Genomic DNA, 18858 nt, shown 5'->3' with positions numbered 1-18858 from the left:
CCTGAGGGCCTAATTTATGAGATGACATAATCATCTCCCAAAGGCACCATCTCCTAATGCAGGTTGAGTATCCCTTATCTGAAATGCTTGGGACCAAAAGTGTTTTGAATTTCAGATTTTTGAATAATTGCATTGTATATACTTACTTGTCAAGCAGCCCAAATTTGAAAATCCAAAATCCGAAATTCTCCAATGACTTCCAGTTCCATCCATGTTGCTGCACTTGAGAGAATTTCATTCTTCTTTTTTTTTAATGGCTGAGTACTTTTTCATTGTATATGTGTACCACATTAAAAAAATTCCTTCCTCTGTTGATTGACACTTAGGTTGCTTCCACATCTTGGCTGTTGTGAATGGAACATTCCATTCCAGTGGAACCATGGAAGTGCAGAGATCTTTTTGATATATGGATTTCTTTTCCTTTGGATATACACCTAGCCTTGGGAGTGCTGGATCATATGGTATTCCAGTGAGCATTTCCTATGAGTTTCATGTCAGTGCTCATAAAGTTTCAGACTTTAGAGCATTTTAGATTTCAGATTTTCAGATTTGGGATGCTCAACCTATACCATCACCTTGGGGATTCAATTTCAACATAAGAATTTGGGAGGTGGGGACACAAGCATTGAAACCACAGCAGTCTGGATGCAGGTTTTGCTTCTGTCTCTAAGGCACCTGGGGTGACTGTGTGAGCATGCCGCAGGTGAAAGTGCTGATTAGGGGAACCTGAGCCACGACATGTCTCTCAGTGGGAAGGACTGTGGAAGTCAGGGGCTGACAAGAGGCCAGGAATCCGGGCTTGAGTCCCTTTAGAGAAAGCCTGCAGGGCCAGGTGGAGGGGGTCTGGACTATAGTTTACATGCTGCATGGGGATCATGCTGACAAATTTGGGGTAAGAAAATTATGTGATTGGAACTGTGTTTTAAGGAGATGAATTTGGCTGTTTTGTGCAAGATGGGTTGGCTGGAAATCAGAGACCAGTGAGGAAGCTATTGTGGAAGGAGATGTGTAATGAAGGCATCAAATGCAAGGTTAGTGCCGGGGGGAAATTCCAGATCCTAAAAATCCTTCAGCTCAGAAGCGCAGGTGCTGCAGCCTGAGTTCCAGTGTGCAGGAGGCAGCAGGGTTGTAATTAGTCTGCACCGGCTCCCTGGTCGCCTGAGATCAGGGTGGCTGCTGGCTAATTAGTGCTTCCTGGAGGACGAAAGCAGCTGGTATTTCCCTTTCTAATTCAAGTAATGACGTCCTATTTTAACATAATAAAAGGATTCTCTGGTAGAGAAATGGGGCTGATGGGATGGAAAGCAGAGGTGACCCAGAGGCCCCTGCCAGTTGCTCAGGGAGTGTGCAGGGCCAGTGTAAGCACTGCGGGAATCAGGGACCCCTCCCCCCATCCCTGGCTGCTGTAGTGCCTGTATCTCAGGCTATATTTCCGTGGCTGGAAGCGCACAGGGATCATCGGAAATGGCCCTCTTACCTTTGCTCTTTGGCATCCTAAATATTGCTGTTTATATGTAAGAAGCATAGAAACACATGTGCCCAGCCGCTGGGCTGGGACAAATTGTGTGGTTCCTTTATATAATGCTGTTGAAATGACACAATTTTAGAAATGGTGAACAGATTAGTGACTGTCAGGCGTAAGGGCAGGATAGAGGGGGCAGTGGTGGGAGGGAGGCGGGGTGGCAATGAAAGGGCAGCAGGAGGAATCCCCGTGGGGATGGAAATGTCTGCATCTTGAGTGTGGTGGTGGAGATACGAACTTATGCATGGGATAAAATGTGTGGAAATAAATATACATACACACGGAGATATCTGAGTGAGATTGGTGGGTTGTTGCAATGTCAATATCCTGGCTGTGACATCATACCATACCTTTGCAAGTGTTACCATTTGGGGAAACTGGATAAGGGGCACAGAGGATCTCCCTATATTCTTTCTCACAACTGCATGTGAATCTACAATTATCTCAATAAAATGTTTCTATTTGAAAATGTATCAGAGATGGGGGAAAGAGCATCAGGAGGGTGCTATAGGCAGGTTACACAGTCAGTGCAAAGGCCCTCAGGGGAGAGAAGAATGATGTGTCCATTGTGAGAACTGTGTCTTTAATCCTAAAGGAGATAGGAAGCTATTGGAGGGTGTGGCAGAAATATTTAATGCTGACCAAATGTACTCACCTATATTTCCAGCCCCCTTGAGTGGGCAGGCCCCAGAGATTCGCTGTGGCCAGTAGACCGGATGAAACACAGCAGGGCAGAGGATGCGTGAGTTCCCTGTGCTCTGTCTTCCACTGACATTGCCCAATGAAAGACATGGCTACAGGAGAAAAGCAGCCTGCATCTTTGAGTTGCCACTGGTTGGGAACTTTGCTGGAGTCTCGAGTCCCAGAGGGCTACACGTGAGTGGCAAGTTAAACTTCTTGTGTTAATCACCTGAGATCTCAGGGTTTGCTCGTTAGTTCAGCATACCTAAGTTAAGCTGACTGCTTACTATGGGAGGTTTTGAGAAGAGAAGTTAAACTTACCTGATTTCCATTTCAGCAGGATCTCCTGGGCTCCCATGTTGAAAATAGGCTGAATGAGGAAGCAGAGAGTCCAGTAAGGAAGCTGTTGCAATAGCCCAGATGAGATGATAAAGCTGGTACCATTACAGTAGGATTGGAGCTGGTGCTTTCTGAACATATTTTGAAGGCATATTTGACAGGATTTTCTGATGGATTAGATGTGTGAGCATAAAAGATGAGCCAAAAAATCACTCCAAGAATTTTTTCCTGAGCAATAGTAAAAATGAAGTTTCCATTAACTGAATAGAGTGAGACCATGGAAAGTGCTGGTTTGGGAAGGTGGAAGGAGAGGATTTAGGAGACACAAGTTCTGTTTTCGAGCTGTTAAGTTTGAAATGCCTATGGGACGTCCAGGTTCTCTGATCTATGTTGGAATCATTGGGTGGGTTGAGGATGGAAGCTATACCCTTCAATCACTGATTTTCCAATAATAGACAAATGGATAAAGAAATATGGTATATATGCACCATGAAATGCTGTTCAGCCATATCAAAGAATAAAACTCTGTTGGCTGGGCCCTGTGGCTCATGCATGTAATCCTAACACTTTGGGAGGATGAAGCAGGCAGGTCACTCGAGCCCAGAAGTTAGAGGTCAGCCTGAGCAACATGGCAAAACCCCATCTCTACAAAAAATACCAAAAAAATTAGCTGGACTTGGTGGCACACGCCTCTAGTCCCAGCTACTCAGGAGGCTGAAGTGGGAGGATCACTTGAACTCAGAAGGCTGAGGTTACGATGAGCCCTGATTGGACCACTGCACTCCAGCCTGGATGACAGAGTGGGACTCCTTCTCAAAAAAATAATAAATACATAAATAACCTCTGTCATTTGCAGCAATATGGATATAACTGGAGGACATTATGTTAAGTGAAATAAGCCAGGAACAAGAAGTTAAATGCCCCATGTATTCCCACTTATAGGTGGACGCTATAAAAAAAAAAAATTGGTCTCATAGAGGCAAAAAGTAGAACACATGCACCGGTAGTCCCAGCTAGTCGGGAGGCTGAGGTGGGAGGATGGTTTGAGTCTTGGAGATGGAGGTTGTAGTGAGCCGAGATCATGCTGCTGCACTCCAGCCTGTTGAAAAAAAAAAAGTAAAACATAGGATACTAGAGGCTGGGAAGGGCAGTGGGAAGTGAGGAGAGAGATAAATTTATTAAAGGATACAGATTTACAGCTAGATGGGAGGAATAATTTCTAGTGTTCTATAGCACTGTAGGATGAATACAGTTAACAATTACACAGAGTTTCCAGTAGCTAGAAAAAGGATTCTGAATGTTCCCAACACAAAGAAGTAACAAATATTTGAGATGCTAATTATGTGGCAGGCCAGGTCTCACTAAAGTAGGCTTCCATAGCAACTGTTTCAGTACTGACTGAGTGCTTAAGTTAAACATTAAAAGCCAATGCCCTTATACAAAGGCTGGGATGTAACAAAAACCCACCAACAGTTTTGCCTAGGCCTTTCCTGGGCATTAAAGCATGACAAAATAATGAAGGAATTCTTAACCAGACCCATTTAGGATTAAACAAGTTTTATTGGGGATCTGAAGAAACTCCCCAAGGCCTCTACAAACAAGTTTGTTGGGGGTCTGAAGGAGCTCCCCAAACCTCCATGATTTGGCAGGAGACAAGATAAGGGTAATCACCCCAGCACCTGGACCCACTTACATTAAGTAAATTTACTGAGGATCCAGAGGAAGATCTTCAGGACTCAGATCTTAGTTATAGATTAAAATAAGTTAATCACTTGTCTTTAGATGAATGCACACTTAACACATAGACATATAGCTTAGAAGGTATATAAGCTCTGGAAAACACTGTAATTTTGAGTTGGTCTGGTGATAATTTCCAGGCCTTCTCCCTGTAGCCAGTTACAGAAATAAAAACTCTTCTTCCTCCCCAGTTCATCTGCATCTCATTATTGGGCCATGAGAAATAGCAGCCCAATCCTCAGTTTGGTCCGGGAACAATTACACTGCTAATTACCCTGATCTGATCACTATACATTATATGTATCAAAACATCACTATGTATCCCATGAATATTTACAATTATTGTTTGTCAGTTAAAATTTTTTTAATAAATGAAGAGTTTGTTACTGAAGGATCAGGAAGATTCCGAAGCTTGTCCCCTACTTTCACCTTCAGAAGATTTCTAGAAGGAAGAGATTTTTCCCCCAACTTAATAGTCTTGTTCTTGAAAATTTGAACCCCTTGGGCTGTAGCTGTAGGGCCACAAATGATTTCCCTGTGCCACCACGTGGTGCCTTGACTGCCTGTAGATCTCCCGGCGTGGGAACTGCAGCTGTTGAAAACTAAGCATAAACTGAAAAGCCAGCACATATCACCAAGATGTGCTTTATCACAGAAACAAAGAATATTCTCATAAGAGAGACTATTGCTTCTGTGAGGGCAACCTTGACTTTCCTCTGTAATGAAAGTGTATACCCCAACCTTTTGTGGCAATTCACGTTTTGCTGCCTCCTGAGTTGCAAGAGGCACTGGATGTCAGTGGGTTTCCCTTTGCCATGCAGAAGAGAAATACATTCAGATCCAATTAAATAATTTTGTGGTTCAAATTTTCCTCTTTGGTTGAAGGTTGGTGGGGGCCGGGGTAGGGGGAGTATTCCTGATGCCTCCTACTGTGGATATATGGATACGGAATTCAGAAGAGTGGTCTGAGCCACAAATGTGCATATTGGGACTTTTGGGCCTTTCCTGGGGGGAAAATGTTATTTTTCCTCTTGGCAGCTCCTCTCCACCTTCTTTTCTATAGCATCCACCTCTCCACTGCCAGAAAAAAGGGGTCTTTAATCCGATTGGGTCATCAGTGACACGTCTGATTGTTAGAAAGTTCACACTGAGCTTACTATTCTTTTCCTCTTCTTTTATCCAGGTAGCTGATCAGCAAACTGGCCTCGGGCTTTTCACCCACCCGAGCACTTGTCCAGCCATCTGCCTGTCTTGCTCTCCGGTGCTTCCTGACGTTTTCTTTTTGTGCCTAAATTAGGATTACAATAAGGTGGGAGGAAGCACAGCCATTTAGCTTTCTTTTTCTTTAATGTTTCTCACAAGCATATGTGAGCATCTCATCTTCTCAAACTAGGGCAGCAGCTGCCAGCAGAATTTTGAGTTTGGGCTTTGTACTGAAAGGGTTCTAGCTGGACCTAGTGCCTCTCTCTTGTGCTTCAATCCAGTTTGCCAGTATTAAGCACTGGAATTTTGAGGATAAACTCAATTAAAATGTAGTAGAGGTTTGATTTTCTATCTGCCCTGGCCTTTGCCCGCATCTCTCCCTGAGGGAACTTTGAGGGAGTGGGATGTTTGAAGCAGGTTTGAGGTATTGCCTGCTCCCTTTGTCTTAATGGTGTCGGACTACCATGAAATCTTACATTGTCCCTTAACAAAGGAAATGTCAGCAGTGATGTGTGTGTGTGTGTGTGTGTGTGTGTGTGTGTGTGTGTGCGCGCGCGCGCGCGCATATTGTGTGCATGTGTGTGTGTTGAGGGAAATAGAGTGGTGGGTTTGTGGAACCAGACTCAACCCAATAGCCTCAGTTTCTTCATTTGTAAGATGGAAATAATAAGAGTTTATAAACTTGTATGAGTTAAATGTGTTAAGAAATGTAAACTACTTAGGTAAATATAACCCTATCTGAAGGACCTTTAATACCCTTTCTAACTTTGAGCGTTTTTAATGCCTTGATACTTTTTTAGGGCTGAGATGCATTTCTCTACCCACATTTTACAGCTGTCACACATGGTGGTGGGGCAAAGCGCTACTCTATGGGTCCGGGTTTCTCAGGACCACAAGTGGCACAGAAATCAGGGCCAGTGAGCAGGGCTGAAGAACCTGCATCCTTAGATGGAAGAACACACCCGGAGCTCAGGGACTGAGAGGAAGACACCTCCCATGCAGAAGCAGAAGCAGAAGTGCTTAGGTAATAGCAAAAGCAGAGTCATGAGATGAGGAATATTGAGCATGATTTTTTTTTAAATGCAGGGGGATGGGGGCTTATGCATTGCCTGAACAACGTGCTGGACAAAACAGAAAAGAAAAGTACCACTAAATCACCTGAATGTTATTCCAGTGACATAAGAGCAAGGCAGGCCAGTGAACTGGGTATGTGTGTGAGAGAGGGGTGACCACTGAGTTTTGGATTTCTAATGGAGATTCCTGACTCTCAACACATCTTAGGCATAAATATAAGGGATAATCTCTGATATGGTTTGGCTGTATCCCCACCCAAATCTCATCTTGAGTTGTTGCTCCCATAATTCTCACTTGTCATGGGAGGGACCCAGTGAGAGATAATTGAATCATGGGGGTGGGTCTTTCCTGTGCTGTTCTCATGATAGTGAATAAGTCTCATGAAATCTGATGGTTTTATAAATGGGAGTTCCCCTGCACACGCTCTCTTGCCTACCGCCATGTAAGACGTGACTTTACTCCTTCTTTGCCTCCTGCCATGATTGTGAGGCCTCCCCAGCCATGTGGAACCATGAGTTCATTAAGCCTCTTTCCTTTATAAATTACCAGTCTGAAGTATGTCTTTATTGGCAGTCAGAGAACAGACTAATACAATCTGCTTGAAGACCAAAGCTAGAGGTGAGTAGTCCTGCCCATGCCTGGCCTCGGTAGTGTCTTGCTTCTGAATGGAGCCCTATCTTTCAGCACACTCATCCCACAGAACTAGTCACTCATTCTGATTCTGACAGGACAAAGGTAGAAAGGAACAAAAAGGTAGGAGGAAGGATTGGGCATCTTGTCATAACATATTTATTTTCTTTCTTCTGATTATGTTGGATCAAACTTGCTTTTCTGTTTCTAGCTTTATAAAGTAGACACTAAAGTCATTGATTTGAGATGTTTCTTCTTCTTTTTTTAAATACATATGTTGAGTGCTATAAATTTCCCTCAAGTCATTACATGAACTACATCTTGCAATGTATAATATTCTACATTTTAAATTTTATTCAACTCAAAATGCATTCTAATTTCACTTTTGATTTCTTCCTTGATCCATGGGTTATTTAGAAATGTGTTAGTGTTTTAGTATTGGAGGATTTTTTTGGATATCTATTTTAGTTCCATTGTAGTCAGAGAATATTCTTTGAGTGGCTTGAAAACTTCTAAATTCACTAAGAGTGCTTTTATAGTCCATCATGGTAAATACTATCAATACACTTGAAAAGTATATATTGTGCTCTTGCTTGTCTACTTGTTCTACAAATTGTTGAAAGGACAGTTGAAAATTCTAATTACAATTAAAGATTTGTCTGTTTCTTCTTAAAAATCTATTGGATTTTGCTTCATGTACTTGGAAGTTTTGTTATTGAGCATATTGAAACTTTTAAGCTTGTTATCTTCTGATGAATAGACCACTTTGTCATCATAAAATGATCCACTTTATCCCTGGTGGTATTCTTTTCACTGAAATCTACTTTGCCTGATATTGAAATATGCACTCATGGCAGTAATGATGTATCTTTTCTCATTTTTAAAATTTTTAACCTCTTTGTATCTATATATTTAAAGAAATTTTAAAAATTTGTCATAGGTAACAAATATCTGGGTCTTGCTTTTGATAGTGGCAGGAGGCAGTCAAATGCCTAGGCAGATAGGGGCAGGCACCCCACTGAAACCCCACCTTTAAGCCAAGGACAGTTTAAAGCTTGAAAGCCAAGCTACAAGTCAAATCTATGGACCAGATTGAGAACGTCTCTTCCCATTTGGTGCACTTTCCTCTGACTGATCCTCATCCTTCACCTATTTTACATATACCTACCCTTCCCTAATTGGTTTTTTACACTGTTGTGCCCACCTTTGAGTTGTGTCTTTGTTTCAGCTTATTTGCATATTCACAAACCAATCAGCACACACTCCCCCATTCTGAGCCCATAAAAGCCCCAGACCCAGCCACACCAAGAGAGAAACCACCCAACTTCAGATGGGGGACCACACTCATGTCCCCTCTGCACTGAGAGCCATTCCACCATTTAATAAAATTATTCTCTGCCCTCCTCACCCTTCAGTTGTCAGCGTAACCTCATTCTTCTTGAATGCTGGCAAGAACTCAGGACCCACTGAACGTGAACGCCGGTACCAGCTGTAACACAGGTGGACTAGGGCATGCTCAGCCCAGTCACAGGCTGAATGTGGATCCTACAGCAAGTGTGGGGTCCACACTGGCACACAAGTCAGGCTGCAGAAGTCCCTGGCTGACAAAGTGACCGAGAAAAATCCTGCATCATTTTTATATACAACCTGAGAAATATTCCTTTTCAGCCAGGTTGTTTAGAATCATGTTTAATGTGATTCTTGATGTGGTTGGGTTTAAGTGTACGATTTTGCTATTTTCTATTTGTTCTGTCTGTTCTTCGTTTCTTTTTTCTTATTTTTCTACATTCCTTTGGATTGAGTTAGATTGTTGGTTGTTTTTATCCATGATTCTGTTTCCTTCTTTTGTTAGCTTTTTAGGTGTAACTTTTTAAAAGTAGTTGCCTTAGGACTAATAGCATATGCCTAGCTTGCTGTGGTCCATCTTCTTGTAATATTGCACTTCACACTTCCTTTGCCCCTGCTAAGCCTTTGTGCTATTGTTGTCCTTACTTCCATAATACACTATTATTTTAGCTTCAAACAGCCAATTATCTTTTAAAAAGGTGAAAACCAGGAAAAATCCGTCTTCCATATTTACCATTTCTGTTACTCTTCTGTCCTTTTATGGATGCAGAGTTCTGTCTGGGATCCTTTTCCTTCTGCTTTAGCATCTTTTGTAGTGAAGGTCTGCTGGTGATCAATTATTGCAGCGTTTGTAAGTCAGAAGTAGTGATTGCTTCCTCTGCTCCACAGCATTGGTTCTGTCCTTGGTCTCACAGCTTCCTCATAGACCTGTGCTGACTAGCACTCGGCTGAAGCCTTGTGGGATGCACTTCAGACCTTCAGAGCTCCTTTCTGTGCTCTTTCTCTCTTCTTCTCTCTTTCTCTCTCCTGAGAACTCTGACTGCCTTGGCCGCCTTGCGCTCCCAATTCCATCATCTCAACTCAGGGAGACCACAGGATGTGGTCTGGGCTTCCCTGCCCTGCACTGCCACCTGCAAGCATTCTCCAGGCAGCATGCTGAGTGCCACGATGAGGATCACTTTTAGGGGCCACTGCATGGCACTTCCTGATGTCTGATATCTGGAAACCATACATTTTATGTATTTTTTTTGGTTAATTGTTTCTAGTAGGAAGTTAAATCCACTCCAGTTACTCCACCTTGATCAGAAATGGAAGCCAATAATTCATTTAATGTAGAAAATAATGTGTGTATTTTAATAATACATTTAACATTGATAATTAACTGGGATTTAAAATAGGCCAAATGTCCAGAAATAATAACCAGTTAGTGCCATCCTATACCGAGATTTTATTCCTAGGCATCTAAGATAATTTCTAGGTGATTTTTCCCCCCAGATTATCCTATGAGTCTTCTTTTACTCTTGTGTTCTCACATTTCCCCCCTGAAGATCAAAACAAGGTGATTCACCACCATGGGTTTTGTTCTTCATCAGTAAAATGAGATAATGATATCAATTTTTCAAAGCTGTTGTAAATATCAGTGAGCTAATACTGATACAATGTTTAGTGGCTAACACAACAATAAACCTTAGTAAATAAGAACCCTTAGAAGGGAATCTTTTCCTGTAATCCTAGCACTTTGAGAGGCCAAGGTGGGCGGATCACGAGGTCAGGAGTTCAAGACCATCCTGGCCAACATGGTGAAACCCTGTCTCTACTAAAAATACAAAAAAATTAGCCAGGCGTGGTGGCACGTGCCTGTAGTCCCAGCTACTCAGGAGGCTGAGGCAGGAGAATTGCTTGAACCTGGGAGGTGGAGGCTGCAGAGAGCCGAGATTGTGCCACTGCACTCCAGCCTGGGCAACAGAGCGAGACTCCATCTAAAAAAAAAAAGAAAAAAGAAAAAGAAAAAACGGAATCTTTTGTCTCTTGATGGAAAGTATCTGTGAAGAAAAAAAAAACTAGTTGTTGGTCTTAACTTTGTGGAGTGAAGACACTGGGAGAAACTCTCCTGGTTTATAGGTGTTACAAGGTAGTGCTGCCGACTGGGAGGAAGCTCGAAGTGTGGAAACAGCATGGTCTTCCTGCTTTCCTCTGGGCTCCCATGTGCAATTGAGCTGGGCCTGTATCCCAGAAGATGAGCTCTAATTTTTGAGCCAACTTTCTTAAATTCCCTGTACTGTACCACTATTTTTTATTACCAATCTATAGCTTTTATAAACATCTTTCAAAATTTTCCAGCGTATTTTAGCATTCAGCATTGCTAAACTAAAATGCTTGTGGACTGGTCATGAGAAAGATACCATCAGAATAAGTTCAGGTGGGCAGAGATGGAGACCACTCATCTTCAGCCACCCAGAGGACCCTGTGCATATGTTCTGGCCACTATGGTATTATGATTAACAGCTTGACATTGTGTCGGGAGCCTGACACGGTAAAATCCTGGATCAGCCACATACTAGCTGAGTGTCCTTGGACAAGTTATTTAACTGCTGTGTTCCTGTATTTGGGGTAAATAATAGCACCTGTTGTGGACGCAATGTGTGTGTCCCCTCCCCTGACAAAGTCATGTGGAAGCTTGCTGCCCACTGTGATGGCATTTGGAGGTGGGGCCTTTGGCAGGTGATGAGAAGTAGAATGCCCTTTAGAGTCATGAGAGAGCTTGCTTCCCTGCTCACTCTGCGCTCTGCTATGTGTGAAGACAATGAGAGGCCCACAGTTTGCAACCCAGAAGAGAGCCCTCACCAGGACATAACCATGTTGGCACCAAATCTCAGACGTCCAGCCTTCAGAATTGCAGGAAATAAATTCCTGTTCTTTAAAAGTCACCCCGGTCTATGGTAATTCCTTATAGCCTCTAGAACCAACCAAGGCAGCACCTAACTCATAGAGCTGCGAAAGGTTAAATGAATGTAATACATGTAAAGTACTTGAAACTGTGCATCATACATAATGACCAAATTCATGTCTATTAGTATTACTTTCTTAAGGAAAATAGCATTTTCTTACAAGAGACATTACATATACCCGCCTCTGATTCTTCAGAATGAAGGAATAACATCAAGCACCTTCCTTGCATGAGGGACAGGGCTACCAGTAGCCCAGAAGTCAAATCTACCAGTAATGTCTTCAGGTGGACCTAACCCACCCGAGGGCTATGCTGGCAGCACCTGACTCTCCTCTGAGATGAGCCATGCTCAGGTCTGCATGTGGTGGGCTGTGACTCGGGGCTCTGGAGTTTGCCTCTCCATTTCTTCCTATTGCTAACAGGGATAACCTGTTTCTGAAGGGTAAGAAGTCTTCCAGAGGGTGGAGAAAGGGTCAGCAGGCAGTGTGGCTGGTGGTGGTGGTTTGGTTGCAGTACACTGGGGATAAGGCCACTCAACCGAAAGAAGAGAAATCCTACAAATATAATCCAAGTTCCAAGTTGTAGGGCAATACATGTTCCAAGTAGCCATCTTATGAGAAATCATGAGAGCCCAGTTTAATTGGGGGTGGTCCGCATATGGCGATGACATCCATGACAGGAATGTGGTCCATGGGCATCTGTTGGCTGCGTGCTGGGTGGCAGGGGGATGGAGGCTTTCACAGTCTCTCCACTTCTGTTGCTGGCCTCCCATGACCTCCATATCCCAGTCAGGGCTAGAGTATTTATCTTGATTGTTAAAAATGCAAGTTCTTTCCTGGCAGTTCCTGGTCACAGGCTGGAAATATTCCCGCTTGGTCACTTGACCCCTGTCAATGCCAGCCCAAGCCCCTTCCCACACAGATCCCTCATCATGAACTTCCCTTTGCCTAGGCACTCAGCCAATGGGGCCAACTCTCTTAGCAGCTCTTACCTTTAAAGATTTGTGTCAGTTGCATGTGAAAACCCAGGGGTCTACATGCTTCATCTTTTCCAAGGGATTGTTTTCAGTGCCTGGATTTCTACCAAATGCTGAGTCTAACCCTAAGCACCATAGTTTTGGGCTTCCAACATCTTGGTCAGGGTTCCCAGGTGGGTCTTCTTCTGGCCCTCTGTTGTGTTCAGTCCAGTATCAGCAGAGGGTATTAGTATGACTACAACTCAATTGCACATTAATTTCATCCAAGGGTGGGATGGGCTCTGAAACCGCACTGTAATGGCAGGGATAAGAAACCACATTGTTGCTTCCAATCCACAGCCCTTAGTTCTGCTGCCTCCTGCTGCTGTGCCTCTGAGTTTATACCTCTTTCCTCACTCATTCTGAGGTTATTGCTGCTTACTCAACAGGGGAGAAGGGAAATACTGATATTTATGCTATAATACACTTTCAAGGCCGAAAACTGTAATTGTAGGCTTTACAGATGGTATTTTCTTAGTGAGCCTTTAAATAGAGAGGGTACCTGTGAGCTAGGAGGATTCTCTGTGAAATGGATGAAGGATATTGAAAGGGAAGGGATTCAATGGCTGTTGAAGAGATAAAATTCTTCATGGTTACTCTTCCTTCCTAAACACTTTCACATTCTATTGTATTTACTGTGTAGTAGAGTTTGCCAATTGTAGAAGAACAATGATCTAAAAAACAATGCACATTGTATATTCAGATGTCAAATTTTACATGAAAAAAATACATCAAGACCATATGGTCTAGCCAAGACTAGACCAAGTCAACTTCACCTCCAGTGAATTGCCATCTCAAGGTACTTGGACAGAAATCCTCTCTCTGCTAAGAGTTTGGGTGCTTCTATGGATTTCCAGAGTTAGTTGAAAGGTTCTGTTTATGAGAAACATGTAAAGCAATTCCTGCAGGGAATGCTGCGTTTCCTGAAGAATTAAAAAATTGTTTTAAATAGAGACAGAAATTGAGAGTAGGCTGCCAACATCTCAGGAGCCCAGCAGCTCAGCAGCCCACGGCCAGGGATTTGCAAGAAGAGAATTTTCATCTATGGGCAGCTTGGGAGATTCGCAGTTTGACTTTTCTGAAAGAATTACTGCCTGAAGCAAGCAGCTCTATTCTCATCTGTCTTCCTGTTTATGTTCTTCTTTACCCTTGGCCTTTCTGAGCCAGATCTGTGTCAGGGGCCTAGAGATTTCTCTTTACAGCTATTGATTTGGGTCTTGAAAAACCCACGTACAGCAGAAAAACCTACCTGTAATGATTTCAGGTGAACCCAATCCCCCTGAGGGCTGTGCTGGCAGCACGTGGCTCTCCTCTGAGGTGAGCCATGCTTGGGTCTGCATGTTGTGGGCTGTGACTCGGGGCTCTGGAGTTTGCCTCTCCCTTTCTTCCTGTTACTAACAGGGAAAACCTGTTTCTGAAGGGTAAGAAGTCCTTCCAGAGGGTGGCTCATGAGAGGACCTGAGGGAGTTTGAAGAGAAAGGGGTGGAGGGATTGTGCAGTGTTGCAAAGAAACCCAGGATGCAGACTTATTGATGGAAGGCCGTGTGAAGTCCGGGGACCAAATGCCCTATATTTATCATCAATTAGCTGGAATCTCAGACTAGACCTCTGAAACCCAGCAAGCCAATGGCATTCAAATCCCTTTAGACCCCTCCGTAGGTAAAAGGAAATTGCATTTTCTTACCACCTTTCCGACAAACAGGATCCAGAATGTGGGAAGATTAAGCAACGAAGGAGGCTACACTTTGTGGTGTCGAAATGCTTGCAACACGATGGGACACCCAGCTGTAGGAGAGTGTTTATGGAGCTTTAGGATATCAGAGCTTTCACTTTAAAGGAAACAAGGATCTCTGTCACTCCAAATTCTTACCTCAGGATTGCTTGAACAACACATTCACAGACACAGATGTGGCCATTACATTTGCTCCAGTTAAGACGGGCAGAACTGCCCAGCAAATGATACATCTCCAGCAGCCACTGCCAAGGTCCAGTGCTGCCATTGTGTGCACTTGGAATGGCAGCCACTCCATAGCTACTGCTTGTTATTACAGCACCGCAATACTTAGGAAATTCTCCTGAGTGTATAGACAAATGCCATACTTCTAGGTATGAGTGTCATATTATGGAGACCTGTATTAATAAATATGACTGTCCTAGTAAACATTCTCTCTAAAACATTGTCTTTTGATGACAAAAGAAATGCCTCACTTGGTGGTTCTTTGCATTCATGCACTTCCTGGTGGGTGTCCTTCATTAGAGGAAAGTAATCTTGGGTCTTCCAGGGTAATTAATGTCTCTGGTTCACATGCTCTGCTCTTCTTTCTACATGTGACTTACGGTAAGGGCATAACAAATGTTTATTGAACCAAGTATGAACATTGGAGGAGAATGTTGTTTCCCTTGACAGTCTTTGTTTTTAAAGCTTTTAATAGTTATTTTATAAATTAAACATATTTTTCTGGCCAGGTGTGGTGGTCCATGCCTGTAATCCCAGCACTTTGGGAGGCTGAGGTGGGCAGATCATGAGATCAGGAGATCGAGACCCTCCTGGCTAATACGGTGAAACCCTGTCTCTACTAAAAATACAAAAAATTAGCCAGGTGTGGTGGCAGGCACCTCTAGTCCCAGCTATTCAGGAGGCTGAGGCAGGGGAATTACTTGAACCCGGGAGGCAGAGGTTGCAGTGACCCAAGATCGTGAAGCATTTGTTGTGAATTGCCAGACAGACAAGTTTTCAGGACAGCCTTTGAGGCAATAGAAGGTCTGTTGTAATAGTCTGTGGATGGAGCCCACCCAGCCCACCAAATCAGAGAGCAATCAAGGAATCATTGGGAGTGGTGGATCCATCCTATCAGTGAGAGATGTATGCCATTTTCCATAGTTTAAAAAGTGTTGTTGTAGTTTTAGATATTTTATAGTAGGGTTTTAATATTAATTTCTACTTTTCTTATTGAAAGTAGTAGAAACAACAACAAAAAGTCTATTAACTAAGTGTAGTGTGGGAATCCTCTCTCCTGGAACTGGGTTTACCATCTTATCATTGGTTTCTGTGGATAGTCTCTGCCACCCCACACTGCTCATGTCTTCCAGAATACTCTTCAAACTGGGTGCAGCCAGTTGGTTGGTACTTTTCTATCTACAGGACTTGGTGGTGTAACATTTCTGGCTCTTTCCAGATGCTCTCTGCTGGAGGGGCTGAGCTTTAAGGTCCAGTTTCAGCTTATATGGCTTTGACACTTCAAGGATTTGGGGTTATCAATGGTTTGGCTATATTGGTGGCCTAGTCAAAAGGTCAGCACCCCTGAAAGAGATGAGTGCCCGTGAGACACCACGTCCCTAGGAACCACATTTTTTTCATAAGCACAGCAAGTCCAGTGAAGAATACAGTCACCTTTCCCTCGTCAGCAGTCCTTGACACCTGCTGCCACAAGACCCTTCTCTCTCAAGCTCTCCCGTGCTGCAAAGGATTCCTGAGCACAGATAAAGAAAACAAAATTCTCCAGAAATGCAACAACACCTCTTAACCATGGAGAAAGGAGGTTCTTGGGCAAAGACCTTGGCATCATACTCAAATTGCCAGACACTTTCAGCCTATGTTTTCCATGTAAAGGTGTATGAAAGGCCTGGGTCACTTTGTGAAGGTGCTGAGCAGTTGAGGAAGAGGACATCGCCTGAGTATTGCATGCACTCACTGGGGTTTTCCCTCCCTCACTTTTTCTTTTGTTCTCCCACTCTCTCCTTCCCACATGTAGGTTATTAGTAAATGACAGCATCTTTATGGGAGGCCAAGGTGGGCGGATCACGAGGTCAGGAGTTTGAGACCAGCCTGACCCACATGGTGAAACCCTGTTTACTAAAAATACAAAAATTAGCCAGGCGTGGTGGCATGCGCCTGTAATCCCAGCTACTCAGGAGGCTGAGGCAGGACAATTGCTTGAATCTGAGAGGCAGAGGTTGCAGTGAGCCGAGATTGCACCACAGCACTCCAGAGAGAGACTCTGTCTCAAAAAAAAAAAAAAGTTTGGGTCCATGTTCACATTTTGAGAGACTTTTAAGCTGTATTAGTCTATTCTCACGCTTCTAATAAAGACAAATCCAAGACTGGGTAATTTATAAAGGAAGAAGATTTTATTGACTCACAGTGCCGCAGAACTGGGAAGGCCTCAGGAAACTTGCAATCATGGTGGAAGGGGAAACAAACACATCCTTCTTCACATGGTGGCAGCAAGGAGAAGTGCAGAGTGACGGGGGTGAGAGCCCCTTATAAAACCATCAGATCTCATGAGAACTCACCATCATGAGAACAGCATGGAGGAAACCACCCCCATGATTCAATTACCTCCCACTGGGTCCCTCCCACAACATGTGGGGATTATAGGAACTACAGTTCAAGATGAGATTTGGGTGGGGACACACCCAAACCATATCAGGAGTAAAGTTCTGAAATGGTAAATTTAAGGAAAACACATAAAGTACTGGTTTTCACAATAAAGTGACACTGTTTTAAAGCCTAGGCTGGTGTGCCTGAAGGCCTTCCTGGGAGATGCAGTCAGGGATTCTAGCTCTACAGTAGTCTAGTATACAAAGACACTGCAGAAACAAATGCACAGGAATGTGCCATCAGCTAAATCAGCAATGTAGCTCAACCAGATTGTGGGAAACACCTAGTAATGCTAGAGGCACCAACTCCAATCCTGAACCAACAGGGTCTATTACCCAGAGTTCCTATGGAGTTCCATGGTGGAGAGACCTCTACAGACCCAGAAACTCTTCTCATTAGGCAACAGTGAAGAGCTAGGCTAAGCAAACCACCTTTACCCTTCATCAGCCTGCCCACCCCTTCATCAGCCTGCCCACCAGAGCAGTCATTTCGTGATGAACACCTTGGCAGGTTTCTTGACTTGCTGTTCTCTAACACTTTCCTGCTTGCTTCTTTGCCTTTTCAGTGGTCTGTTTGAGCTCCTTGAAGGAAGGGGTCAACACTTAAAATTCCTTTATTGCTCTCATTGTATGTAATATGGTGTCTTTTCTAATGCTCAATTATTATTTCTCAAATCTATAGAAAGAGAATTAAAACATGAGTGTGATCACCCAGTCCATATCCATATGCGAGACTCACCGTATGACCCGGTTCAACACCATTGCATTGCAGAAAACACAGTCACTGACTTTATACCATCTCATTGCATATCCACCTGTGACTTTACCTGATTCTGAGAAAGACATTTAAAAAGCATGTTTTAACATTAAGACCTGCTTTGGGAGAAAAATATATATATAACTTTTCTTTCTGGCATAATGCATGTGACAAATGGAGAATTTTATGGCCAAAGGAATATATTCAATGCAAATGTAACAAGTGAGAATGTCCTCTAATTGATTTATTTTTATTCAGTTTTTCCTTTTTATTCATATTCATAATCATTAACTCTGCTACCAAAGGCAATGCTACAGGTCAGTTGTCAAGTCTCGAGGATGCTGGAAGTCTTGGAAACTTTTCCAAACTCATCAACATTGTGATTTTTGCAGTTCTTACTCAGCAAGGAATTTATAGTCATTGCCTAAACAAGACCGAGGTCATAAAAAAATATATCTTTAACTGTATTCTTGGGGGCAAGCAGTCCTCTCACTGAGGCAGGGCTTCTTCAAACCTCAAGTTTATTACATGTTTGTCCTGCTCCCCTCCCTTGAAAAGCTCCCCAGCGTCAATCATGTCCTTTGCTCCTGGCAGCATGAATCAATCTTCTGGACACATGGGTGACCCAGTGTCCCTGATCCCCCATCCCAGTGCACAGATGCCATATGCATTCCTAGCTTCTTTCGTTGGAAATGCCCTGGAGGAAACACTGGAAATGGCCTGGAGGAAACACAAGTGTCCCAGGGAAGGATGGCCTTGGTGCTGAGTGGGTTTCAAGTACAGAGGTCAAATCTCTATTTTTCCCACAAAGTATCATGAAAGAAAACCTCCTGCAGCAAGTTTTTGTGTTCTTCCTTTGCCACAGTTATGTTTCAGAGTTAAGAAAGGCAAGGGTCAGAAATTGGGACAGAGGATCAGGCAGTGAGAACCACCGGTGACCAGGCTGAGGATTCCAGCCTGCCAGAGCCTCTGGCAGCTGCTGCTCCTGCCCCTCAAGGTTCACAAGACAACAAACACGAAAGCATCAGCCCGGGTCAGAGCCTGCCGTCAGCTCTGGGGTTATGCCAGTAAGATGATCCCTGGCTTCAAGATATTGGATGCAGGTGTCCTCAGTAACCCTTTTGCTAGAGGTGTTCAATGAAATAGGAACATGCAGTTCTACATTTTCTGTGATCCTTAGTTTATATAAAATTTCCCATGGAAAAACTTGTAATGGTTAAATAGAA

The 18858-nt window shown here is 43.4% G+C and overlaps 2 annotated features.

Annotated features, from left to right (window-relative positions):
- Nucleotides 245-883: an enhancer, noted in NCBI's record as "NANOG-H3K27ac-H3K4me1 hESC enhancer chr15:26481073-26481711 (GRCh37/hg19 assembly coordinates)". NCBI's record gives its function as "activates a minimal SCP1, AML or CMV promoter by ChIP-STARR-seq in primed H9 embryonic stem cells {active_cell/tissue: H9 hESC(primed)}" and the evidence as "EXISTENCE:reporter gene assay evidence [ECO:0000049][PMID:30033119]".
- Nucleotides 5282-5817: an enhancer, noted in NCBI's record as "NANOG hESC enhancer chr15:26476139-26476674 (GRCh37/hg19 assembly coordinates)". NCBI's record gives its function as "activates a minimal SCP1, AML or CMV promoter by ChIP-STARR-seq in naive H9 embryonic stem cells {active_cell/tissue: H9 hESC(naive)}" and the evidence as "EXISTENCE:reporter gene assay evidence [ECO:0000049][PMID:30033119]".

This window comes from Homo sapiens, chromosome 15 (genome assembly GCF_000001405.40).
Source record: "Homo sapiens chromosome 15, GRCh38.p14 Primary Assembly".
In the NCBI taxonomy this organism is placed as follows: domain Eukaryota; kingdom Metazoa; phylum Chordata; class Mammalia; order Primates; family Hominidae; genus Homo; species Homo sapiens.
The sequence above is the reverse complement of the archived record's forward strand: the minus strand, read 5'-3'. Positions and strand labels throughout refer to the sequence as shown.